The sequence below is a fragment of the Homo sapiens genome, chromosome 5 (assembly GCF_000001405.40).
Source record: "Homo sapiens chromosome 5, GRCh38.p14 Primary Assembly".
Taxonomy (NCBI): Eukaryota; Metazoa; Chordata; class Mammalia; order Primates; family Hominidae; genus Homo; species Homo sapiens.
Genome location: NC_000005.10, coordinates 53008248 through 53035775, shown reverse-complemented (window position 1 = coordinate 53035775; position 27528 = coordinate 53008248). Strand labels below are relative to the sequence as shown.

Here is a 27528-nt window from a genome sequence, read left to right as displayed (position 1 = left end):
AGTTCCAGGCCACGGACAACACAAGGTGCTTGGTGAGCTCTAAATGGTACCTGCTTTCTGCTGGTAAACATAAAATGAATTTGTGATGGAAAGAATTCACCCGTGAAGGCTGCCCGTCTCTGGGAAGAAGGAAGACAGGTAAAAAGAGTCATTTCATTTTTTAGGTTTTATTTGGAAATACTGCTATCATAAATTTAATAGTTAAATTCTTTGGCATATATTGAAAGGCAATTTTAGTATTTAGGCCTCATTATGCTGCCTCAGACTTCTTAGGCTTCCACATTGTCTCCTCAGTTAGCGGGATGGCTAGATCCTCAGCATCTTTCCGTTTCACGATAAAGAGTCCACTGACTTCACTATTGCTAAAACATCTTAAGCTTACTGTTCTGTCTCATAAAAATTCCAGAAATTGGCTTTGGCACTAGAAGAAATATAATCAATAAAAACTAATTATGTTACTTCCTCTCATCCGACATGCAGTTTTCTTGAATTTAAAATCAAAAGCTAAAATACTAACCCTAAAGCCTTGTGATGATACAAATTCCTGTTCTTGGCTATTGGAGGGAGAGAGGGGGATAATTTTAAGACCATCACATTTTGCAAATCAAAGCTCATGAGCTAGTACCTTTCAACTAGGTGCTTTGGCAGATGGTTGTTTCATCAATGATAAAAACTGGAATAGCAACATTTGTAAACTGCTTTATAGCTCATAAAGCATTTTTTATGTGCATTATCTCCTTTGATCCTTATAAACACTCTGTGAGGTCAAGTGTATAACTATTTATGTTTTCATTTAAAGAAACTGACTTCAAGGGTCTAAGTGAAAGCAAAACCTATATATCTGCACCCCTGCCCTTTTGCTCAAAATTGCTGGTTCTTTTTACCATATTAAGTTCCCTTAGAACTCTTCTAGAGAAGCACTGTTTGCTTTCCCATCATATGGGGCACAGCAAGTTAATAAATAGTTGCCACTTGTGCCACTTAGCATTCCCCAGATCCTTCTTTAGATGGAGTTAGATGGATGTAAATGTCTTAGACAACTAGATACTAGGAAGGTGTGTGTGTAAGTCCCAGTCACCTTTGTAAATGAACTTTATTCCAGAAACAGATATTCACACATTACCACAGAGGAAAGCTTAAAATTATAAGACTTGTTGGTGAGGCATGGAGGATTTTTATAGATCATTAAAGCACAGCAGACATTCTGGAGCAACATATCTCTCCCACGTGCAAGTCACAAACAATGGGTGTGTATGTATTCATGTGTTTGTAGGTGCACACACAAACTTGTATCCAGAGTGAAGGAACGAAGAAGCAAATCAGGAGATATTTAAAGTGTCCTTCCTACTATAGATTTTTTTTTTTTTTGAGTTGGAGTCTCACTGTTGCCCCGGCTGGAGTGCAGTGACGTGATCTTGGCTCACTGCAACCTCCGCCTCTTGGGGGGTTGTCATTGTTGAGATGAGACATGCCACTTTGGATACCTGTATTAATAGTGCTGAGGATGGCTTAATTGTACAGCAATAGCATAATAAGTATTTATAAAATTTTTAACAGTAAGTATTTAAAGTTAAAATAAAAGTGTAAGAATATATTACAGTTGGATTTCTAATGTCTTTATAGAATCAAACACTGGACTAAGTTATGAGTAAAAAATAAAATTGAATGGAAGAAGAAAAGGAATATTTATGTTATGAATTTAAAATAAAAGGAGGGCCAGGCTCGGTGGCTCACGCCTGTAATCCCAGCACTTTGGGAGGCTGAGATGGGATCACTTGAGGCCAGGAGTTCGAGATCAGCCTGGCCAACACGGTGAAACCTCGTGTCTACTAAAAATATAAAAAATTAGCCAGGCATGGTGGTGGGCGCTTGTAGTTTCAGCTACTTGGGAGGCTGAGGGAGGAGAATGGCATGAACCCAGGAGGCGGAGCTTGCAGTGAGCCGAGATTGCCCTACTGCACTCCATCCTGGGCAAAAGAGTGAGACTCCGTCTCAAAAAAAAAAAAAAAAATTAGCCTAGTATGGTGGCACATGCCTATAATTCCAGCTATTCAGGAGGCTGAGGCATGAGAATCACTTGAACCCAGGAGGCAGAGGTTGCAGTGAGCCAAAATTGAGCCACTGCATTCCAGCCTTGGTGACAGACTGAGACTCTGTCTCAAATTAATTAATTAATTAATTAATTTAATTAAATAAGATATAAGCAAACTCTGTGAATAAATGAAGTTGGCATGTTAAATGGCACTGCCAGGACAACCTAATGGTAAGAGACTTTTATCTTTGAAAGAGATATAAAGGATGATAATTGGCTAATATTTAAAAGGCTATATCATAAAAGACAAAGACATGATTATTTTGGAAAGAGGATTGGAATAGAATAGCATTCTTGGCCAAGAAGAAGAAATGGACTTCATGAAGCTAATCCAATATGCATGGAAGCTCATCCATGACAGATGAGAATTGGTTGAGGGGATAGGAAGAGGTAGGGAGGACCCAGTTTTTTTTTTGAGATGGAATCTCCCTCTGTTGCCAAGGCTAGACTGCAGTGGTATGATCTCAGCTCACTGCAACATCTGCCTCCCAGGTTCAAGTGATTCTCCTGCCTCAGCCTCCCAAGGAGCTGGGATTACAGGTGCCTGCCACCACGCCCTGCTAATTTTTTATGGTTTTGGTAGAGATGGGGTTTCACCATGTTAGCCAGACTGGTCTCGAACTCCTGACCTCAAGTGATCCGCCCGCCTTGGCCTCCCAAAGTGCTGGAATTACAGGCATGAGCCACCGAGCCCAGCCCTGAAGTGCTTTACTTTTATTCTCACACAAGGTGCTCATAACATTCCAGTTTGATAAGGATGGCATACTTTCTGCTCCAGAGAAGTTGTGTGACTTTCCCAAAGTCACCCAGGGAGTGGTGGGGAAGCTGAGGGTAAAACCCTTGTGCTCCGGCTCCTGAGTATATTCATACAAGAAATTCCTGTCTATGATAGGATGAAAAGATGGATGGTAACTATCATCTTTGCCCAGGAAACAGCTGATGGTAAAGCCAATGATGCTAACATTGGAAATTCTCTAACAGAATTTTTCATTCAAGATTCTGAAAGTTTCTCTTACTTCATAAAGTTTATGTTAAAATAAAATTTAAATATTATTTATAAATGCCAACTACATCCTGTCACTCTCCTTCTTGGATACTTACAAAAATATGTACGTTTGGAACATTTTGTCTCATTTTGCATTAGCTTCCCCTATCTTTATTAATTATCAGCTCTGTAATCTTAGGTTAATTACTTAACATTTCTGAGTCACACTCCTCTCATTTGTAAAGGGGGTAATAATTTTGCAAAGCTCCTAGAGTAATTATGGGTATTACATGTTTGGCAAGGAAAGAGTACTCAATAAATACCAGGTGGTGTTATTATCAAAGTATCACGTGACATAATCTTTGATGTCTGTTATAGAATTAAACTTTTTTTTTTATTTAAAGTTCTCCTATAGGCACATCTGTGGATGACAATGCTATATTCATAACACATGTAGAGCTTTATTAAAGTTTTTCTCAATTAAAAAGTTAAAACTATAAGCTCATATATAGGTGGATTTTTTTTATTTTTATTTTTTGCTATGACACTTGTTCTTTCTATTTCTCCTCTCTCTTTAAGGAAAAAGAATGCACTAGTCCTTGTTAGAATGAAAGACATTTCTACAACTGGAAATACCCTAATTCCCAGTCAGTCCTCATCACACAGAGAGATTGCAGTTCTCTCTGGTTTTTGAGTCACATAATGAGCTCAGATTGTTCTTGCAACAGGCCTTCAGATTAGACAAACAGAAAGAGTGCATATCACCACAAACTCCAGGAAATGATTTTAAACATATCTCAATCCTTTGTAGATTGTTTGTGATAAGAATTGCATCATCCACATTGGAACATCCTGTGTGTGAAGTGAGGGCTCTGAAGCGGGATGGCCCTCCGCCTACACCGAAAAGAGAACAGACCACAGCCTTACTTACAGCCAGAGGGCTGCCCAGGTACTCTACTTGGGAGGTCAGCTTGTTTTAAAATTATCCCGCTCACTTGAGACTGTTAAAAAGGCTCCAGAATTATCAAAGCCATGTCACCACTGTTTCTAGAGTTGAAGTTCATAGTGCAATGAAAGTCTCATAAATGAAACTAGCAAAAGAGTTAAGATTATTTTGTTAAAATCTGGTAGATCCTGATGTAAATATGCCCATAAATTCTTAGAAAACATGGCACACATGACAGAGCTAAAATTGTACTTTAAAAATAACAGAGTGTGATTTAAGAATACTCAGACTAGAGCCTTCAGTGAGTTGTCTGAGGGAAAGGAGTGAAGTCAGGACTTAGATAGAAAGATTACAAAGAAAGTCAAAGTAAGCAGAGGAAAAAGATACCAAAATGACAGCTTCAGAATAAGCAGTAAGGGAATAAAGAAAACAAAGTTGTGTGTGTGTGCATGTATTACATGATAAATCCATGGAAAAAGAACTCGCAATTTGCTAAAGGAATAATTCATGGTCATACCAATTTCTGTGTCCAAAACTAACTTGATTAGTATCAGAAGGAAAGTCAATGTTTAAACAGTCCTTCCCACATCTGCTACTTCCATAATGCCTATGCAACTGTCATAAATTAAGAGTAGAGAAGGGCACAGGGCCCACTGTCAAAACAAACAGGCAATTCTGGGTTCCAAGTTTCATATAATTTTCCTTGAGCCTGAGAGTCGTGAAGACTGCTTGTCCTAACATGGCCCACTCTAGCACTGTAATGGGATAACCCATTCACCTGGATCCTGGCCACAGCCCTGCCCTCTGTGGCAAGGTACCTTGGCAGGGCTGGGCAAATGACAGAGGTCATGAGAAAACCTTGTCTCTCTAATGACCCAGGCCTTGGGAAAAGAAAATGAGCTCTTAAGTTATTATAGCTAGTGACACTGAAAGAAAACAAACACCATTAACTGCAAGGGGTTTACACTGACTGATGTCTTCTATATTATTCAAAGTTGCCTATTCTGCATATAAATCTTCCTCACTGACTCTATTTTACACTCCTTAAGGCCAACAACTATGTTTTGCATTTTTTGCACCTCATGTAGTTTAGAAAATCATGCCCATGGTTTTGCCTCTCTTGTTTCTTTGCTTCATAAGACCAGATCAACAAAAGGACCCAGACAGACTTGCTTGGCCAACTTTTGTTCTCTGTCCTTCCTGCTTCTGAATTCCATATGGTTCAGCCCTTCAGGTCAGACAGGTGCTGTCTCTTCCTCTTGCATGGTGGGGTATGCTTGTATCATCTGGTGGTTAGGCCTTGAGCCTAATCTCAGTGCTACACCTTGCCAGAAAGCTCTATACTGGAGTTCAAAGCCCTGGCCCAGCCAATAATAGAGTGGTGCCTTGCTTCCCAGACCTATTGTCCTGTGTTTATACATCATTCAGGGATGTCATGAGAAGGTCCAGGCAGGATTTAGAAATGTCCAGTGTCCCTGGTCTTACCAGCACTAGGATCTCACTATAAACTACAAATATACTTGTCTTTCAACAATGTCTTGGATACTTAGAGGTAATCCTGGACAGAGAAAGGAGATATGGCTGCCTCTCATGTTCCCAGAACTCTGCCTGGTGGGATCCTCTCAACTCTGTGTCCCTTTTCGTCTTGTTCAACTTCCAACCAGCAGCATGGCCAGTGGTTGAGCCCCTTACAATCCTTGAAAGGCTTATCACCTTCAATAATGTCTATTACTGATGGTGGCTCTTAGATTTACTCTGTCCAGGAAAGCTGTTACTTAAAAGAATTGCTTCAAACTCGGTGCCAGATGTCCTCAGCTAGGCCATGTCTATGAACTAGAACAGTGGAGTTCATCTGAAGCTCCCTTTCAGCTCAAACATCTTAAGTCAGTCTACTATAGCTCACTTTGTATAGCACTTGGGATGAATCATTTAGAATTGGGACTTCCATTTAGTCATTTAACAAATAATTGTTGATCCTTTACTCAGTGCCAGATATCACTCTGGGTGTGGAGAATGCAGCAGTCAACAAAACAGTGTCCCTGAACTCAGAGACAGTGGCAGGAGACAGATAATGAGCATATAAACAAGTATAGATCATTTAAGATAGTACTAATCATTAGAAAATAAATCCACCTGTAAGGCTGGAGTGACTCAGAGAGCAGTCGAGTGCTATATAGATAGGGTTGCTCTGAAAGGTCTATGAGGAAGAAACATTTGAGCTGAGACTGAAAGATGAAAACCATTTGAGTGATGATCTTAGGGAAGACTCTTCCAGGCAGGAGAAAATAATTTGCAAAAGCTTTGCAACAGGAATGAGCTAGGCATGTTCAAGGAACAGACAAAAGACTTAGTTCTTGGAGCATAGAAAGCAGAGGAGAAGGTGTAAAAGATGATAATAGGAGAGAGGCTGACACCCAATCGCAGAGCATCCTTTAAGGAATTTTAATCTAGGGAATGAGCTGTGTTTTTTGTTTGTTTTTTGAGATGGAGTCTCACTCTGTCACCCAAGCTAGAGTGCAGTGGCTTGATCTTGGCTCACTGCAACCTCTGCCTCCCAGGTTCAAGCGATTCTCCTGCCTCAGACTCTGGAGTAGCTGGGATTACAGGCGCCCGCCACCACACCTGGCTGATTTTTGTGTTTTTAGTAGAGATGGGGTTTCGCCATGTTGACCAGGCTGGTCTTGAAATCCTGGCCTCAAGTGATCCACCCGCCTTGGCCTCCCAAAGTGCTGGAATTACAGGTATGAGCCACCGTTCCTGGCCGAGCCATGTTTTTAACAGTTCACACTGGCTAGAGCAAAGACAGCAGAATAAAGCTGGCAGGAAGGGAAGCTGAAGGCAGGTGGAGAAGCTGCTGCAGCAGTGCCTGTAAGAGCTGGTGTTGGCTTCCATCAGGGTGGCATCAGGAGAGACAGTGAGGAACGGCCAGGTATAATTGGTATTTTGGTGATAGGATTAACAGGACTGGCTCATGGATAAGATATAGGGGAGGAGAAAGAAGACAAGTCAAAGATTTTTGGCCTCATTAGCTTGTGCAGAAAATCAGATACTTGTGTTCTCCCAGTTCAGTTTGGTATGTCTACTGGGCATTAAAGTGGAGATGTTGAATGAATTGTTTAATATAGCAGTCTGAGGGAAAAAATTAGGGCTGAATATTTAAAACTGTGGGTCATTAGCTACTTCATCTGCTAGATTCCAAGGTCAAAATATACCGACCATATTGTCTTTCTAGCCTCCTCACCACTTTATGATTATCAAAGCATCATTTGATAATTGTTAGACATGCAACTCTCTCTCGTATCCCAAATGGTTACAATAATTGCCAATCTTTGGTTTCCAACCAGATGTTCTTATCCTTCTAGACAATTGACAAACTGTATCTACATGCATTGTTTTCTAAGTCTCCTCACATTAGTTAACACTCATCTCCAGCCTCTTCATCCTCACTACTTAAAACCCAGCTCACGATTTACATCCTCCAAGATGCCTGCTGAGAAATGCTGCCCTCTCAGGGGATGATTTCATTTTGTTTCCTCATCAAATAGACAGGCATGCCCCAACATGTGATCCTGAACCTTTCTTTGAATTCAATTGTTTAGAGTATCAAATGGAAGTTCACACAGAAAAAAAGGCTTATGAATTACAGTTACGGTTTTTTCCTCTTTTTTTTTTGAGACAGGATCTTACTCAGTCACTCAGGCTGGAGTGCAGCGGTGCCAACATAGGTCACTGCAGCCTCAAACTCCTGGGCTCAAGCCAACCTCCCAGCTCGGCTTCCTGAGTAGCTGGGACTGCAGGCATGCACCTCCATATCCAGCTGATTTTCAGGTTTTTAATAGAGATGAGGTCTCACTGTGTTGCCCAGGTGGTCTCTAACTCTTAGGCTCAAGTGATCCTCCCACCTCAGCCTCCCAAAGTGCTGGGATTACAAGCGTGAGCCACTGCACTTGGCCATACATTACGGTTCTTATTTGATAAGCCAACAACAGCCCATTTAATCACTGAAAAGAGCTCTAGAGAGTGGAGATTCAGAATCTGAAGTTCCAGGGTGAGTGGGGATGGTTGGAGCCTCCTGCTGCAACAAGGAGATAAGGTCCCCATGGCAGGACCTGTGTCCACCAGTGGGCATGAACTCTGGCAGAATAGGAGCTACAGCGCTTCTTCCCAAATACAACTTTCAAATTACCTCATTTCTCTGGGTTCACTTGCATTAGTATTATGGGAACTAGATTTCCATCTCCATTGAGGTGGTTGTTTTTCACCTGGGTAGAAAAGCCATGGTTTGAAAATGTAACCATCACATAGCATGTAAAAACTGGGAGCACTTTGGGGCAAAAACAAAAGGTGTTAATATGCTAGAGAAAGCCACCTTTGTACATTTTGCATTGATATTTGTGAGGACCCTTCACCACAAGGAGGGCAAAAGCCTAACTTAGAATGAAGCAAGTAGACAAAACCTTGCTAAAGAAAAAAATGTAGGAAACAATTCTACCATTTAGAAATGGTCCAGAGATAGCATTAATAACTAGGTAATGATTTACAAAGTTCAATGAATATCAGTTTACATGATCAGAAATGAAGACAAATCTATCATTCTATCAATCTACCTACCTATGTATTAATGGTCAAAACTGGTATTATAAATTTGCTTTTGAATATTTAGAGAAAACTTTCTATCCAGGTTTTTAAAAATGAACCATTATACCATCCCATTAATGATCAGTCTGCAGTTGTCAACTCTCAAAGAAAGATTGTTCATTTAAGGATATTTGAGGGCCACCCATTTATAGTACAGTCAGGCACCAATTTGAAAAAGCAATTGAAGTCAAATATGAAATTTATTTTGTATTTTTACTGAAATCATAAAGAAGAGAATATTCTTACCAGTTGCCTTTTGGATTTATAAACTGCTGCACTGCATAGCCAAACTGTTCACTTGAAGGACCGGAAAATATTTTTGCTTCTGGGAGACCAACATTGTAGGCCAAACAACAATTTAAAATGCCTATTAAGAAAAATATGAAATAGCACATATTTACAATTCATGAATATAAGTGTGTCGTATAATTCTCAAAGGCCATTTTTAAGAAAACTTGCTTGACCTAATAATTATTACTTATCAACGTTTACCCAGAAAAAATAACTACTGCTTTTTAAGTACTTATTTGGAGGCCCGGCACCAAGCTAAATACTATATATGCATAATTCATTATCTTACTAATCTTCATGGAAATGCTAGAAGATAGTTACTAATATTATCTTTGTTTTGCAGAGAATTTTGAGGTTCCAGGGGACAAGTATATCTCACAGCTGGAAAGAGGAAAGGATGAAGACAAAATTTGAACACAAGACTTAAAACAACTAAATTATCTCTAAGTATTCTTAAGTAATTTGAGTTATATTTGTCCTTCCCAAAACAACAAGACTCTAAGCCACCCAAGGGCAAGGGCTGAAGGGTATCATCTATTTATTCTGAATCACCTTGAACATCTTGACATGGACTCTATATGAAACATCTGTCGAAAAGGCATTGATGACTACATCAAAGGAGATAGAAAATCACAGCTCCTTGAAAATTGTTATCATTTTCTTTCAGAAGTGATCATTATCATTTTTGAGGATGAAAATGTAGGGATTGGTGTCATATCTTTTTTATTCCAGTGGGAACTGTCAAAAGTGTTTTGTTTTTGATGCTTCTTTCTGAATGATTGAGAAATGCTAATCATTTCAAAAAACAGAACAAAGACCAAGGCATATAAAGCCTTGATAGATTTTATTTTATTTTTTTTGAAAATTCTTATTTCTGATGGAAAGGGAATGAAGGAAAGGAATAAGGCAAATCATGTTTCTCTGTATGACACTGACAGCATTAATGCTGCCAGTTCTTCATCCTACAGAAAGAAGGTTGTGTGGATATTAATGCTCTCTCTGGAGATGGGAATATGCCTCATGTTGCTTAAGATCAATATTTACCTTCGCAGACACTGAAGACAGAATGGACTCTTTAAAATTGACATCAAAGTTCCATTAACATGTGCTTTCACAAAGAAATGTCCTACTTTCTAGGCAGCATTGCAAGTGCATGGTATTTCATATGTCTATTGTTTTAGGCACTGAAAGGCCGGAAGAAAAAGGCTTGCTCTTCCATTGCGCCTCTGCATTTCAGGGAGCAGATTCTGTAGAGTGCTCCAAAATGATAATGAAGTCAATGATGAAGCAACGGGGACTTTAAGTAGTTAACGTCCCTCTGTAAGTGCCAAAATCACTGTATCAGGGATTTGTCCACACAAGGAATTCAGCTTTTTATTTCTTACAAATAATGTGCTGCCATGAAGAGAAACACAAATACTCATTCTGAAATACTCTATAGCAAAATCTGCAAAGCTTAACATCTGCAAATTTTCTCCTTAACATCTATTTTTCATATGCTCCATTGCTCCTTTTTATTTTTGAATAATAAAAAAATGCAAAAGAAAATAACAGCAAATTAAGCAGAGATCCAGAATTGGCATGCAAAATACCTGGTGTTTTCAACCAACATTTATCTTCACCCCATTGTGGAGAGCTCAATAAATGCTATTTGAATATGTTATCAATCATCTAACATATTAGCGTGGAGAGATGATGCCAAACTGCTTTCACCTTTAAAATACCTAATTCTGGAAAGGACACGTGACTGTACATAAAACAACCTCATTTTCCCCCATTAATTAGACCTGGGCAGATCATTTAATGGCAGGAAATTATGATGGAGTTCATTTTATCATTTAGCAGTTCAATTATACAGCAATTCACATATATAGGCATATATGTGTTACTATATATGCATAGATATATATTATTAACTTATGTCTTGCCATTGAACTGAGAATAAAATCCAATGTCCTCACTGTAAATTCAAAGGTCCTTCATGATTGAGCCCTGGTGTATCTTTCTGACTTCACTTCCGACCACTCTCGTCCTCCCTCCCTGTGTTCCAGCCACACTCACTTTCCTTCTGTTTTTTGAACACATGCAGCTCATTCTGCTTATGCGCTTTGCAGCTGCCTGTTCCACTGCCTATAACATCCTCACCTAATACGGCATGTAGGACTTTGCTCAAATAGGTCTCTGCTCTCCCTTGGCCCTCTGTGTAGCAGCAGCACCCTTCTTCATCACTGTATCACTACTAGAGCAATTATCCAAAATTATCTTATATAGCCATATTCTTTTGTCTGTGCCTACTAAAATGTAAGCTCCTTGAGAAGTCAAACCTTGTTTCTTTTATTCACTCTTACTTTCTCAGCACCTAGGATTTTTTTTTAATAAAATGCATTTTAATTACTATATGTTCTTCAATAATGATTTGGAATATAGAGAAAACTCAAGGGAAAAATCATTCATAATCTTTTCTTTCTACTGTAAGTTCAGTTAATTCAGATGTATTTCCTTCCAGTATTTTTCCTCTATTTAAATTATAATGTTTATTCCAACTCGCATCTTACTGTTTCTTAATGCTTATGTCTGCCTATGTCAGAATCATCCTGACTCATTTGAGTGCCACAACAATCCTGTGGAACAGCAAAACCAAGCTATTATTAACAAATTACAAATAAGGAAACTGAAACTCATGAAGGCTAAATGTCTTTCTTGCGCAATGTCACCCACTCTGAGTCTAGGTTTGGCTCATCTCTCAACTTTATTGTCCAGAATTTCTATTCATAAATGATCTGCTCATTTTTCCTCACAAAGCATGACCTTCTTTATCACCATCCCTTCATTCCATTGATACTAAATCTCTTTTCAGCTACTTAAATCTTTCCCTTTATATCCTGCCTCTTTTGATAAATCTGGACAATCTCAATTCTCTATACTTTTTCTCTTAATATGTATTTACAATTCAGATCTCTGTCATCATTTCACACTTGGCATATGATATCTAAATAGCTCATAAAAAATTAATGGAAGTATTCTGTCTAATTCAACATGTATTTCTTCTTTGCAATCCCAGTGCCTATATCTTCTGATGTCTGTCCTCATAGTTCAACTGAATCATATGGATAATAAGAACCATATTTGGTTCATCTTGTTTCCTTCCTCCAAACCATGCCCATGTGTCTATACATACTTAAAAAATGGATCATTCAACATATGTTTATACAGCTCCTTTGTACCAGGCGTTTTTTAAGGTCCTGAGGATACTGCAAATAAATAAAACTAAAATCTCCCTGTTCTCTTTGCATTTCCATTATGGTAATTTTACTAAAAAAAATGGCATCAAAATGTATAAGTGTTAAAATAAAGAGTGGTAAAAAGAACCTTGAGCTCAGTATTGAGAAGAGGGTAAATCTAAGTTCAAAGGTTTCACAGAGGAGATGGCAATTAATCTGGATCTTGGAGGACAAGTTGGAATTCACTACATAAAGAGGAAGGCAAAGTTCATCCCAGGCACCGGGAACATCATGTTAAACGTAGGCATAGGGTGTGAAAGAGAAGAGTACGGCAATGGTGAAAAGTCTGGCACAGAGAGTCATAGGTTGCTTCATTAATCTATACATTTCCAGTTCTCTATTAGATGCAGTGAGTCTTCAACTGACTTGGGCTTTGCCAGGAGCCTATTATCACCCAGAGTATAAATCTTCCTTCTTTGTCCTCATGTGAATGCCTGGAAAGGCAATAATAGCATCGCAAACTCAACATATTTAACAAAGGTGACCTTGTCAGACACGTGTTGACAGTAACCAGGCCAAAGTATTCCAGTAAATCTCACGAAAGCTTACACCAAATACATTTTATCTCATGCAGGGCTAACTAGTTTCCTCTATTTTCACAATAAAAAGGGGATACTGTTTCATCCTAGATTATAACAGGCTGGTTGCCATTTTAATATCCATAAGTAAACCAGATAGTCAAGCATAAGTTAACTCATGTAGATTTCTTATTTTTCTTAGAGTCTGAGGCAGGAGGATAGCTTGAATCCAGGAGTGCAAGACCGTCCTTGGCAGCACAATGAGACCTCATCTCTACAAAAAATAGACAATTAGGTGGGCATGGTGGTGCATGCCTGTAGTTCCAGCTACTTGGGAGGCTGAGATGAGAGTATTGCTTGAGTTCAGGAGGTCCAGGCTGCAGTGAGCCATGATGGCACCACTGCACTGCAGACTGGGTGACAGAGACTCTGTCTCTAAATCAAACAAACAAAAATTTACAGGATCTCCTTTCCTGAGGATTCCTGACCATCTCTGAAATAATTTTTTTGGAAACAATAATTTAAGAATTAATTTTAGTAAATATGAAATTTATTCTCCTACTTTCTTCTGGAGCATAATTTTAAGTTATAATTCAAAAGAGAAACATATGATTGGGGATTTGATATAGTTAACCTACTTTTGTTCTAAAAATGTAGCAAAGCCTGAGCATGGCAGCTCACACGTGTAATCTCAATGGCCGTCTAAGACAGGAGGATCATTTGAGCCCAGGAGTTCAAGGCTGCAGTGAACTGTGATTGTGCCACTGTACTTCAGCCTGGGCAACAAAGTAAGACCCTGTCCCCCAAAAAAAAAAATGCAGTGAAACTCAGAAAGGAAAAAGTCTTTTAACAACAAGAGCGTAAATAATGTATAAAACAAAACATGTCATTTTATATTCAACCACAAAAATTTGGCAAGGGAAGTTTATTGATGTCTATGATATCAGTGTCAGAACTAAAGGATGCATTTTGTAGTAAAGGGTGGCAAAATAAAAGGGTCTAACTTTTGTGGTCAATGCAAATTTGAGCATATCTATATATACTGAAGGGCCAGGGGCAGGGATGGGTTTTTCATAGAAGGGACTCATTTGCAAAACGTGCCCAGGGACATACATAGGAAGAAATTCAGGTTAAGAGAAGAGAGCAAAGGCCAAAAGCAAGAGGTGGACTTGGGAATAGAGGTGTGGTTTTGACACAGCCTCTCAGATTGCAATTTGGCCCATTCCTGAAGATGCATACTGCACTTCTAGGGGGAACAATGTCTCCATTAAATATTGAACAAAAACATAAGAACTGTAAGGCCTATCTCTAACTGTGAGCACAGAGTGTCATTACTTTAAGAAGGTGGAGCACATTTCTCCCATGCCTGAGGGACTGGTCCTCAGTAGCTGCAGAAGGATTGACAGGGAAGAGGGCAGAGGATAGTGAGCAACTAGAGCATGCCGAGGGCAGGGGCCGTGGTGCAATAGTGATCAGGACACAGGGGACACAATTAGGGGCAGCAAAGGTTTCCAGGAGAACCATGCTCTAGAGTCTGGGAGAATGTTATCTACTCCGGAAGAATGAGAAAACAGTGTTTAGGCACTTAGGCTCTCTGTGTGTGTAAGTAGGTGGCTGGGCCACAGAAATTCTATTTTGCTAATAAAAATTTTGTATTTTATGTCATCTCTCAGTCTTAGGTGGCCTAAGAAAACACACTTTATACATATTAAATAGCTTTAATAATTTCTAGCAATCTAAAAAAATTAGTTCTTAATAACCACCATTAAAATTATCTGAATGTCCAAGATTAGGGGCGTGAATATGCAAATGGTAGCATATAAACTAGACAGAGTTTTATCCTGCCATTAAAAAAACAGCAATTGTGAAGAAGATGACAGTGCTTAACGAAAATAAAATAACAAAAATAATATTCAGAATAGAAGAAAAAGGTAAAATATATGTGAATAGTAACACAACAAACAGTACAATTGTGAGTGTAATGTAGCTGCTTTTAAATTTTCCTTTAGTGTATAAGAATCAAGATAAAAAGGCCGGCACGGTGGCTCATGCCTATAATCCCACCACTTTGGGAGGCCAAGGTGGGTGGATCACCTGAGGTCAGAAGTTTGAGACCAGCCTGGCCAACATAGTGAAACCCCGTCTCTACTAAAAATACAAAAAAAAAAAAAAAAAATTAGCCGGACATGGTGGCACATACCTGTAGTCCCAGCTACTCGGGAGGCTGAGGCAGGTTAATCACTTGAGCCCGGAAGGCGGAGGTTGCAGTGAGCCAAGATCGAGCCACTGCACTCCAGCCTGGGTGACAGAGTGAAACTCCACCTCACCAAAAAAAAAATAATAATAATAATAAAATAAAATAAAAATAAGAATCAGGATAAAATAATGAAGAAAGAAAATTGCTTCTCCTACCCTGGACTAGAAGGACTATAAGCATGAGCTATTTTATTTCAACATCATTTGCAGTGTGTAATCTTATTGTCACATGCACAAATATATAATTTACAATATATAAAGGAAACTCTGGCCCATTGGGTTGCATTTGACTCTTACTTTCATTTGCTAGGCATGTCCTAAGAATGGGATCCCTACATTTATGCCTATAGACTTAAAAGTGCAATGGTTATAAATGTCTTTCATCTCAGTAACTCAAATGGTCACATAATAACACTTCAATTCCATGGAACTCTATGTTTGTAATAAGTCTTGTATAAACTTGTTCATATCTGTATGATAACTTGTGATATTTTCTCCATGATTCTATGTTTTTTCTCTCTCTATTCAAAACTGTCCATAATACAAAACTAATGAATTTATACACACAGTTAATAAACAGATTTTATTTTCCTATTTATTTTTTGTTCACTCAATAAACTTATTGAGTATTTATGATGTGGTAAACATTGTTCTTAGTGCAGGAATGAGAATTACATTAATTCTCTCTTATCCTCAGGGAATGTGTTCTAAGATCCTCCCATCCCTCCAGTAGATGCCTAAAACAATAGGTAATACCAAACCCTATATGGTATATACTGTTTTTTCTATATATACATACCTATAATAACATCTAACTTATAAAATTAGACACAACAAGAGATTAAAAACAACAACTAATAATAAAACAGAACAATTATAATAATATGCCAGCATTACTACTCTTGCACTTTGGGGCCATTATGAAGTAAAATAAGGATGACTTGGCCAGGCATGGTGGCTCACGCCTGTAATCCCAGTACTTTGGGAGGCCGAGGTGGACAGATCACCTGAGGTAAGGAGTTCAAGACCAGCCTGGCCAAGATGGGGAAACCACATCTCTACTAAAAATACAAAAAATAGCTGGGCATGGTGGCACATGCCTGTACTCCCAGCTACATGGCAGGGTGAGGCAGGAGAATTGCTTGAACCCAGGAGGTGGAAGTTGGAGTGAGCCGAGATCATGCCACTGCACTGCAGCCTGGACCACAGAGCAAGATTCCATCTCTAAATAAATAAATAAGGGTGACTCAGACACAAGCCCTGCAATACCATGACTGTTGATCTGATAACCAAGATGGCTCCTACATGACTAATGGGCAGGGGCCTCAGACAGCCTGCTGGACAAAGGGACGATTCACATCCTGGGCAGGATGGAGTGAGATTTTGTCACACTACTCGGAACGATACACAATTTTAAACTTATGACTTATTTACTTTTGAAATTTTCCATTTAATATTTTTAGGTCACAGGTGACCGTGGGTAACTAATTTATATATTTTGCTCAAGATAAAAAATTAATGAGTTTGCTTATTTATATGAATTACTTCTTTTATCCTTTGTGGTTCAATAAATCATTGAATCATTTTTAAATAATTCAACTTATTTTAAAATTATTTTTTTAAAGTACCCTTTATTTTCATTTAAAAAACAAAATGTTTTATTTATTTATTTGACGTTTATTTATTTATTTATTTATTTATTTTGAGACTGGAGTCTCGCTCTGTTACCCAGGCTGGAGAGCAATGGCACGATCTCCGCTCACTGCAACCTCCGCCTCCCGGGTTCAAGCAATTCTCATATCTCAGCCTCCTGAGTAGCTGGGATTACAGGCGTGTACCACCACGCCCTGCTAATTTTTGTATTTTTAGTAGAGATAGGGTTTCATCATATTGGTCAAGCTGGTCTCGAATTCCTGACCTCAGGAGACCCACGTGCCTCGGCCTCCCAAAGTGCTGGAATTTACAGGCGTGAGCCACCGTGCCCAGCCTAAAAAACAAAATGTTTTAAAGAGTATTTCACTAATTTTAGACATGACCTCTTCAAGAATAAATGTAATTTCTACAAATATTTTATATGCTTTCTATAATCCTCTTTGTGTTACTCAAAAACTATACCAAGACGGGAGCCAAGATGGCTGACTAGAGGCAGCCCGAAGAAACCTCTCCGACCGAGAAACCAGGACATTGGGAAGGCTGGCACACACTCTGAACAGGTCTTTGCAGGGAAGGCATTGAGAGTGGATGAGGGAGGACACGGATGCTGGGCTGAAGGGGGAGAAAGCTAGGAGCCCTACACGAGGCTGCCCAGCACCAGGAATCCTTCCTGGTCCCCAGCAACTTCTGGGGTCAGTTGAACAGGTGAGGAGTGGCCTGCTCCTGCCATGGACCTCCAGCATCCTAGCAGCGGAACTCACGACCCCCACGGACACCTGAGCTGACACAAAGACAGCTGCTTAGAGAGGTGGCAAAGGCAGACTCCAGCCAGTGGGGAGCCCAGAGGATTTAACAACAGCAGAATATGGCCAAGAACGCCCATCCCTCAAGGCCTGCCGTGCTCCTATAGGAGACTTTAGCCTTAGGGTGACTGTTGGACCCGGACAGAGCAGGGCAGTCTTGCCCGTGGGATGGGGCCAGTCCTATCTGAGCATCTCCTGTCTGCTGGCCTTTCCTGGAGCTCCAGCCTGACCATGGCCTCTTGCAGAGCAGCTTCAGATGCCCAACCAGAGTGCTTCCTAGGGCACCTCATCAGAGCTCCTGCACTGACAGACCATGCCTGGCCATCAGAGGGCTCCAGCAGAACAGCCCCTACCGATGCATAATGGTTTACCTGCAGCCTCCCCCAGCCACAGCCTCCCCAACCGCAGCCTCTCCCCAGCATTTTGCCAGCATGCGCTTACCCATGCCTCACACCCCTCCACATCCCCCCAACACTGCTTTGCTGGCCCACACATGCCAGAAGACCTTGTCTCTCCTCCCCTGCCAGTGCATGCTCATCCTACCATACCCCCAGCTGATGTGTGGGCAGCCTGCTATGCTGGCATGAATGCACACAGGAATACTGGCAACCTCATCCCCACTGGTGCCCTGCCCCTGCTGTACTGCTACCATGCACCGCCAGCAGGTTGCTGCCACCCTGCTCCTTCTGGAGCCCCACCCCAGCTGACACATGGGCACACGGCCATGCTGCCACAGCTGCTGTCACATAAAAGTGACGATGGATCCTGCTGCCACCACCCCAACAAAGAGCTTTGGCTGGCATTCCCCCATCGGAGTGTTGTGGACAATATAGAGCATGAACACTTTGGCCCCTCCAGTGCAGCAGATGCCTAACCTTGAAAGACCAGAGAACAAAGCGGGGGGGCCCAATGCCAGTTCCTCAGAGTTAGAGTATGAAGCCTAGGAGTGCAGGGCTGAGCCTTTGCTCCCTATAATCTTACAGAGACAATGCCAGTTCACTAAACACCACAATCACATCCTCCAAGTGCATCAAAGAAGATAAAAGCAAAAAACAACCCATCCAAAAAGTAGCAATTTCAAAGACTGAAGGAATATCAGCCCACACGGATGACAAAGAAACAGCCCATGAACTCTGACAACTCATAAAGCCAGAATGTCTCCTTACTTCCAAACAACAGCACTAGTTCCCCAGCAATGGTTCTTACCCAGGCTGAAGTGGCTGAAATGACAGAACTAGAATTCACAATATGAATAGAAATGAAGATCATCAAGGTTCAGGAGAAAAAGTCAAAACCCAATCCAAGGAATCTCAGGAATACAACAAAATAATACAGGAGCTGAAAGACAAAATGACTATTTCAAGAAAGAAATATTCATCTGATACAGCTGAAATACTCACTTCAAGAATTTCATAATACAATCACAAGTATTAACAGCAGAATAGACCAAGCTGATGAAAAAATGTCAGAGCTCAAAGACCAGTTCTCCAAATTAACTCAGTCAAAAATAAAGAAAAAAGAATAAAAAAGAATGAACAAAACCTCCAAGAAATATGGGATTATGTAAAGAGACCAAATTTATGATTCATTGGTATCCCTGAAAGAAAGGGAAAGAAAGAAAGCAACTTGGAAAACATATTTGAGGATATCATCCGTGAAAATTTCCCCAACCTCATTGCAGACGCCAACATTTAAATTCAGGAAATGCAGAGAACCCCTGTAGGATACCAGACAAGATGATCATCCCCAAAACACATAGTCATCGGATTCTCCAAAGTCGAAAATAGAGAACAAATGTTAAAGGCAGCCAGAAAGAAGGGCTAGGTCACCTATAAAGGGAACCCCATCAGGCTAACAACGAACCTTATAAGCAGAAATACTACAAGCCAGAAGAGATTTGAGGCCTATATTCAGAATTCTTAAGCAAAAGCAATTCCAACCAAGAATTTCATTTCCAGCCAAATTAAGCTTCATAAGTGAAGGAGAAATAAGATCTTTTCAGATAAGCAAATGCTAAGGGAATTAGTTACCACCAGACCTCTCCCTTACAGGAGGTCCTTAAGGGGGTGCTAGATATGGAAAGGAAAGACTGTTAGCAGCTACCACAAAAACACACTTAAGTACATAGACCATTGACACTATAAAGCAACTACACAATCAAGTCTGTATAACAATCAGCTAACTTGATGATAGGATCAAATCCGCACAAATCAATGTTAACCTTGAGTATAAATGGCCTGAATGCCCTAATTAAAAGGCACAGAGTGGCAAGTTGGAGAAAGAAGCAAGACCCGAGTGTATGCTGTCTTCAAGAGAACCTTCTCACATGTGATGACACCCATAGGCTCAAAGGCAAAGAGTTGGAGAAAAATCTATCAAGCAAACAGAGAAGTGAAAAAAGCAGAGGCTGCTATTCTAATTTCAGACAAAATTGACTTTAAACCAACAACAATCAGAAAGGACAAAGAAGGGCATTATATCATGTAAAGAGTTCAATTCAACAGAAGACCTAACTACCCTAAATACGTATGCACCCAAAATAGGGGCACCCAGATTCATAAAACAAGTCCTTAGAGACCTACAAAGACTTAGATAACCACACAATAATAATGGGCAACTTCAACACCCCACTGACAGTATTAGACAGATCATTGAGGCAGAAAACTAACAAAGATATTTAGGACCTGATTGACACTTGATCAAATGGACCTAATAGACATCTAAGAACTTTCTACACCAAAACAATAGAATACACATTCTTCTCATCTGCACAAGGTACATACTCTAACACTGACCACACAATCAGCCATAAAACAATTCTCAGCAAATTAAAAAAAAAAATCATACCAACCACAGTCTTGGACCACAGCACAATAAAAATAGAAATCAATACTGAGAAGATTGCTCAAAACCAAATAATTGCATCTAAAGTAAACATCCTGCTCCTGAATGACTTTTGGGTAAACAACGAAATTAAGGTAGAAGTCAAGAAATTCTTTGAAACTAATGAAAGCAAAGATACAACATGAGAATCTCTGGGACACAGCAAAAGCAATGTTAAGAGGAAAGTTGATAGTGCTAAACATACACATGAAAAAGTTAGAAAGATCTCAAATTAACAACCTAATATCACACCAATGGGAGCTAGAACAACAAGAACAAACCAACTCCAAAGCTAGCAGAAAGCAACATATAACCAAAATCAGAGAAGAACTGAATGAAATTGAGGTACAAAAACCCATAAAAAAGATCAACAAATTCAGGAGTTCTTTTTTTTTGAAGAATAGACAAGATAGATAGACTGCTAGCTAGACTAATAAAGAAAAAGAGAGGCAATTAAAATAGACACAATCAGAAATGACAAAGGGGATATTGTCAGCAACCTCATAGAAATACTAAAAACCCTTAGAGTCCATTATGAACACCTCTATGCACACAAATTAGAAAACCTAGAAGAAATAGATAAATTCCTGGAAACATACAACCTCTTAATATTGAACCACAAAGAAACTGAAACTGGATAAACCAATAATGCATTTTGAAATTGAATGAGTAATAAAAAGCTTACCAACCAGAAAAAGCCCAGGACCAGACGAATTCATAGCTGAATTTTACCAGATGTATAAAGAAGAGCTGGTACCATTCCTACTAAAATTATTCCAAAAAATTGAGGAGGAGGGACTCCTTCCTAACTCATTCTATGAAGCCAGCATTATTCTAATACCAAATCCTGGTAGAGACACAATAAAAAAGAAAACTTCAGGCCAACATCCCTGATGAACATAGATGCAAAATTCCTCAATAAAGTACCAGTAAGCCAAATCCAGCAGCACATCAAAAAGCTAATCCACCATGATCAAGTAGGTTTTATCCCTCGGATGCAAGTTGGTGCAACAAATGCCAATCAATAAATGTGATTCATCACATAAACAGAACTAAAAACAAAAACCACATGATCATCTGAATAGATGCAGAAAAACCTTTCGATAAAATTCAACATCCTTTCAAGTTAAATACCCTCAACAAATTAGGCACTGAAGAAACATACCTCAAAGTAATAAGAACCATCTATGACAAACCCACAGCCAACATCATACTGAATGGGCAAAAGTGGGAAGCATTCCCTTAGAGAACCAGAACAAGACGAGGATGCTGACCCTCACCAGTCCTATTTATCATATTACTGGTAGTCACAGCCAAAGCAATCAAACAAGAGAAAGAAATAAAGGCATCCAAATAGAAAAAGAGGAAGTCAAACTATTTGTTTGCAGATGATATGATTCTATACCTAGAAAATGCCATAGTCTCTGCTCAAAGCTCCTAGATTTGATAAGCAACTTCAACAAAGTTTCAGGATACAAGATTGACATACAAAAATCAGTAGCATTCCTATACACCAATAACGTCCAAGCTGAGGGCCAAAACAAGAAAATAATCCCATTCACAAAAGCCACAAAAAGAATAAAATACCTAGGAGTACAGATAACCAGGGAAGTGAAAGATCTCTACAGAGACTGATAAAACACTTCTGAAATAAATCCTAGATGATACAAACAAATGGAAAAACATTTCATGCTTGTGGCTAGGAAGAATCAATATTGTTAAAATGGCCATACTTCCCAATCCAATTTATAGATTCAATGCTATTCCTATCAAACTATTAATGACATTCTTCACAGAATTAGAAAAAACTAATTCTAATTCATATGGAATCAAAAAGAGCCTAAATAGCAAAAACAATCTAAGCAAAGAGAACAAAGTTAGAGGCATCATATTATCCAACTTCAAACTATACTACAAGGCTACAGTAATGAAAACAACATGGTACTGGTACAAAAATGGACACATAGATGAATGGCACAGAATAGAGAGCCCCAGAAATAAAGTTTTACACTGACAACCATCTGATCTTCGACAAAGTTGACAAAAAAAAAAAAAGAAAGAAATAGGGAAAGGACTGCCCATTTACTAAATGGTGTTGGGATAACTGGCTAGTCACAGGCAGAAGATTGATAATGGACCCCTTCCTTACACCATACACAAAAATCAACTCAAGATAGATTTAAGGACTTAAATGCAAAACCTGAAAGTATAAAACCTGGAAAATAATCAAGGAAATACCATTCCGAACATTGGCTCTGGCAAGGATTTCATGATAAAGATGCCAAAAGCAGTTATAACAAAACAAAATTGACAAGTGAGACCTAATTAAACTAAAAAGCTTCTGTACAGCAAAATAAACTATCAACAGAGTAAACAGACAACCTATGGAGTGGGAGAGAATATTCGAAAACTATGCATCTGAAAAAGATTAAATGTCCAGAATCGGTATGGAACTTAAGCAAATTTACCAGCAAAAAACCAAACAACCCCATTAAAAAGTGGGCAAAGGAAATTAACCAATGCTTTCAAAAGAAGAAATACATGTGGCCAACAAGTATATGAAAAAATGCTCCACACCATTGATCTTTAGAGAAATACAAGTCAAAGCCACAGTGAGATATCATCTCATACCAGTCAGCAAGGCTATTAATAAAAAGTAAAAAAATAACATGCTGGTGAGGTTGTAGAGAAAAGGGATCACTTATAAACTGCTGGTGGGAACGTAAATTAGTTCTACCATTGTGGAAAGCAGTTTGGTGACTTCTCAAAGAACTTAAAACACAATTATCATTTGACCCAGCAATCCCATTATTAGGTATACACCCAAAGGACTATAAATTGTTTTACCATAAAGACACATGCATGCCTATGTTCATTGCAGTGCTATTCACAATAGCAAAGACATGGAGTCAACCTAAATGCCCACCAAAGGTAGCCCAACAATGGTATTGTTTAAAAATAAAAATAATAGAAAGCAATAAATGCTGATGCTTAAGACAGAATCATTTCTTCCTTCTCCAAAAATAAAAATAGAAATTAATTTTTTTAATGTTATTTGAAACTTTCCAGTCAATCCAAGCCACCATTTGGATATAATGTTGCTATCTGGTGCCAGGAACAGAAAACCAAATCTATCTCATGTGTATTAGGAACAAACTCATCCTTTTTTATCCAAATAAATCCAAATGCATCCACAAACCTTACAAATTCTCAGCAAGAGTGTACAGTAGGAGAATATTTTCCCACCCTGTAGAAAGTGTTAATCATCAATGAAATTTAAAATACAGTCCTCATCCTGAGGGAATCTCCACTCTAGTCTGTGGTGCAGAATGAAAGCCAGGCTGTGCTCAACTTCCTAAGACTATAATGATATTTTACATATAAATAACCCTTTACTGCTCCCAAGGATTTTTTTTATAACCATGACAATTTCTTTGTACTTAATTTACACAGATTTTGCTAAAATCAGTGATGACAAATTTGTTTTCAAATACACTCATTACTTACATTTTAAGTTGGCAAATTCTTCCACTTTGTAACTTTGATGTCTGGATGCATGAGAACATATTCTCAGCCTTGAGGACCTTGCTTCTCTAGCTCTGACTGGTTCTAATTCCAACATCCTTCTGAGTCCGGGTTTTCTTGGTCCCATCCTACCTTCCTTCCTTATTACCACTCCCCTCACTCCCCCCCACTCACATATTCACCATCACTACAATGAATCTCTCAAAGTTCTTTTTAAACACTATTACTCTGATGCAATCATTTATTATTTAATGGGGAAAATATTTTATACTTATATTTTAGAGAGAAACTATCTTTGTGTAGAAAAATCCTTGATAAACTGAGGTGCAGATAAAACTTTCAGGGCATCAGTAATAAAGAGGCAGGGCCACTAAGGAGGAAGCTGAATAGGACTTTGAGGGAGGCAGGAACAATGACAAGAGGGAAAGAAAGGATGACCAGCAACATAGCGGTGGGTTGGAAACCTGCAGCAACAGGGATGCCTAACAGTACTTTAGTCTGTTTGTATTGCTGTAATTGGCTTGCCTCTGATCTCACCACACCTTGGCAAAAGCTCATTGCACACACAAAGGTATTGTATGAATGATTTTGTGGGAAAGTTAAGGAAGAAAATTCAACCTTTTAGGCAAAATAAAGGAACAACTACAGGATTAGTCAGCTGGGAAAGACAGTCCTCTATGGGTCTCTGGCCCCTCTATATGTCTTAATGGATACATTAGTTTTCTCTGGCTGCTGTAACAAATTACCATAAACGTTGTGGTTTAAAACAGCAGAAGTTTATTCTCTCACAGTTCTGAAGGTCAGAAGTCCAAAATCAAGGTGTTGGCAGGGCTCTGCTCCCTCTGCAGGCTCCAGAGAAGAATCCATTTCTTGTTTCTTCTATCTTCTTGGGGCTGTGAGCATTCCTTAACTTGTGTCTGCATCACTCCAATCTCTATGTCTGTGGTCACATCTCCTCCTCCCCTTTACATGTGTCAAATCTCCCTCTGCCCCACTCTTACAAAAACATTTGTCATTGGATTTAGCTCTCACCCAGATAATCCAGGATGTTTTCATCTCAAGATCCTTAACCACCACATCTGTAAAGACCCCTTTTCCAATTACTGGTTCCAGTGATTAAGACATGGACATATCTTTTTGGGAGCCACTATACTCTGTCACCTGGCCCCCCAAAATTCACATTCATGCCACATGCAAAATACATTCTTTAAGGTATCTCAACATTTCCAAATGGCTCAACCCATTACAGAATTAACTCTGAGCTCGAAATCTCATCTAAATATTGTCAGCTCAAAAGTCCCAAATCTCATCATCTAAATTTGGTGTGAGTGAGATGCCAGGCATGATCTGTCCTGGGGCAAAATTCCTCTCCATCTCTAAGCCTGTGAGCCTAGAAAATAGGTTATTTGCTTCCAAAATATAATGGTGGGGCAGGCATCTGATAGACACTCCCATTTCAAAAGGCAGCAATTGGAAGGAGTAAAAGGGTCACCAACCTTAAACAAATTTAATACCTAGCAGGAAATTTTCAATTAGATTTCAAGGCCTGAGAATAATCCTCTGTTGTTCGAGCCTCTGTTCTCTGGGCTGTCAACCATAGGCCTCTGGGCTCTCAACAGCTCCTCTGGCCTCTGCCTCTCTATCACCTTCAGTCAAAGATGGCAATGCTTCTGCTGAGATAACATTTTTTTAAAAATTTGCAGGTTTCTTATGTAGGTAATGCAGGATTCATGCCACTAAACAAAAGAGCTCTCCACAGGAAATCTTTCCTGGATAACCTCATCACTATTTTGATTGTTGCTGAGATGGTTGAGAGGATCTGGCAACCACATACCTAATCTTTTCCACAAAAGGATGTCTAGCCACACCCTTTGCTTTCAGAGGATGCTTTTCTAACAGTGAAACTCCTAATATGAGTGTCTTCATTCCGCCTGTTATAACAAAGTACCATAGACTGGGTGGCCAACAACAGAAGTTTATTTCTTAACAGTTCTGGAGATGGAAGTCTAAAATCATTGTGCAGCATGGTCAAGTTCTGGTGAGAGCCTTCTTCCAAGTTTCAGGCTGCTGACTTCTTGTTGCATCCTCACAAGGCAGGAAGACAGCTCTATCCACATGACCTAATTATGTTCCAAAGACTCAATCTCCAAATGCCATCACACTGGGGATTGCATTTCAACACATGCATTTTGGAGAGACACAAACATTCAGTCCATAACACTCAGCATATATATATAAAATATATAATCAATCTAGATAGGCTGAGAATTTGCCAGATCATCAAGTGGTGATCCTTCAAATTATCTCTTTCCTCTCACAATTTACTATATCTAGCAGGTAAAAACAGGCTACACCTTGAATATTTTGCTTGAAAATTTGCTCAGCTAAATATCCAAGTTCCTCACTTAAAAGTTGTATGCTTTCTGAACAACAATAAGACCCAATTAGGTCAAATATTCTGCCGCTGTATAATGAGGACATTTTCTGCAGTTTCCAACAGCATATTCCTGGTTTCCTTCTGAGCCCTCACCAGAAGTAGCTTGAGCCTTCATGTTTTTACCATCAGTCTCCTCAAGGCAATCTACAGAAACCCTCTTTCCAGATAAGGTAATACTCATAGGTGTTGGGGATTAGAATAGAGACATATTTGGGGGAGACTACCATTCAACTTAATACAATGGGTATATCAAGAATGCAAGGCCCTGACTACTATTTACCTGGGCCATTTCTTAGCATTGTGTTTATGATGAATAATATTGAGGGGTGAGATAATCTCTTCCCCCAGGTCAAAGAGAAGGCTTGCTGACTGCTTGCTATAAAGCAGCAGGTCCACCAAGCTCATTGTTTCTTTCCTGTCTTGCACCCCACTGTGTGCAGGTGTCTGTCTGGGCCCCTTCATGTAACACTATGAGACTAGAGTGGGGAAAGGGGAACTGATAGACACATGCTCATACTCGTGCTGCCTGCTGTGCTGTGAGTAATAAAGTCCTTCTCTGACTCATGCATGTCATGGCATCTTGTAGCATCCATGAGACAGTATCAGGCTAATGTATTGACTGTACCTAGGGTCAAAATCAAATACCAGACCTGGCAGAGTGGAGAATAAACACTCTGCAGTCAGGAAGTGAGGGCCCAAGTCAATGAAAATGCACATCTCCTGGGAGTTCACGGAAATCTTGAGAGGGCACTGCATTTTCTTATAAGAATGGAATAGGGATTTGAATAAATCTTATCTCAATTTTAAGAGGCAGAGAGAGAGAGACTCTAGCTGACATCTGGCGATAATATCCTGCTTCATGATTTGCGGCTATTTGTTTTTTACAGTGTGTCCATATATCATATGTTTGACACTTACTTTGTGTTCATATCAAAGAAATACATGAGCGTCACTTCCATGACCAGAAATAAACCCCTTAAACCATTAAGCCAAAGGGGGTGTTACAAACTGAATTGTGTCTCTCAAAATTCCTGTATTCAAACCCTAACCCTCAATGTGATTGTATTTGGAGACAGAGCCTTTAATGAAGTGGTTAAGGTCAAATGAGGTCCTAAGAGTGAAGCCCTAATCTAGTATGACTGATGTCCCTACAAGAAGAAGAGACACCAGAGATCTTTCTCTCTCAGTACCCACATAGGGAAAGGTGATGTGAGGACATG

General features: G+C 39.4%; 1 protein-coding gene and 1 long non-coding RNA gene across 7 annotated transcripts in view; one reads left to right on the top strand and one right to left on the bottom strand.

Moving 5' to 3' along the window:
• Positions 1-27528, bottom strand: part of ITGA2 (integrin subunit alpha 2) — a 105428-nt gene that overhangs the window by 59004 nt on the left and 18896 nt on the right. For 5 of the 6 annotated variants that reach the window (NR_073105.2, NR_073106.2, NR_073103.2 and 2 more), the window contains exon 2: positions 8908-9028. The exons of the other annotated variant lie outside the window; for it this stretch is intronic. Coding sequence is in view for 1 of the 5 variants with exons in the window: in NM_002203.4 (NP_002194.2) it covers positions 8908-9028 (121 nt within the window). In the remaining 4 variants the exon portion in view is untranslated. The remainder of the gene's footprint in view (positions 1-8907; positions 9029-27528) is intronic. 6 annotated transcript variants of the gene reach the window in all.
• LOC124900974 (uncharacterized) lies at positions 8-12229 on the top strand. The gene is made up of 2 exons (XR_007058767.1): positions 8-138; positions 9296-12229. It is a non-coding gene; the product is annotated as an uncharacterized LOC124900974 (long non-coding RNA).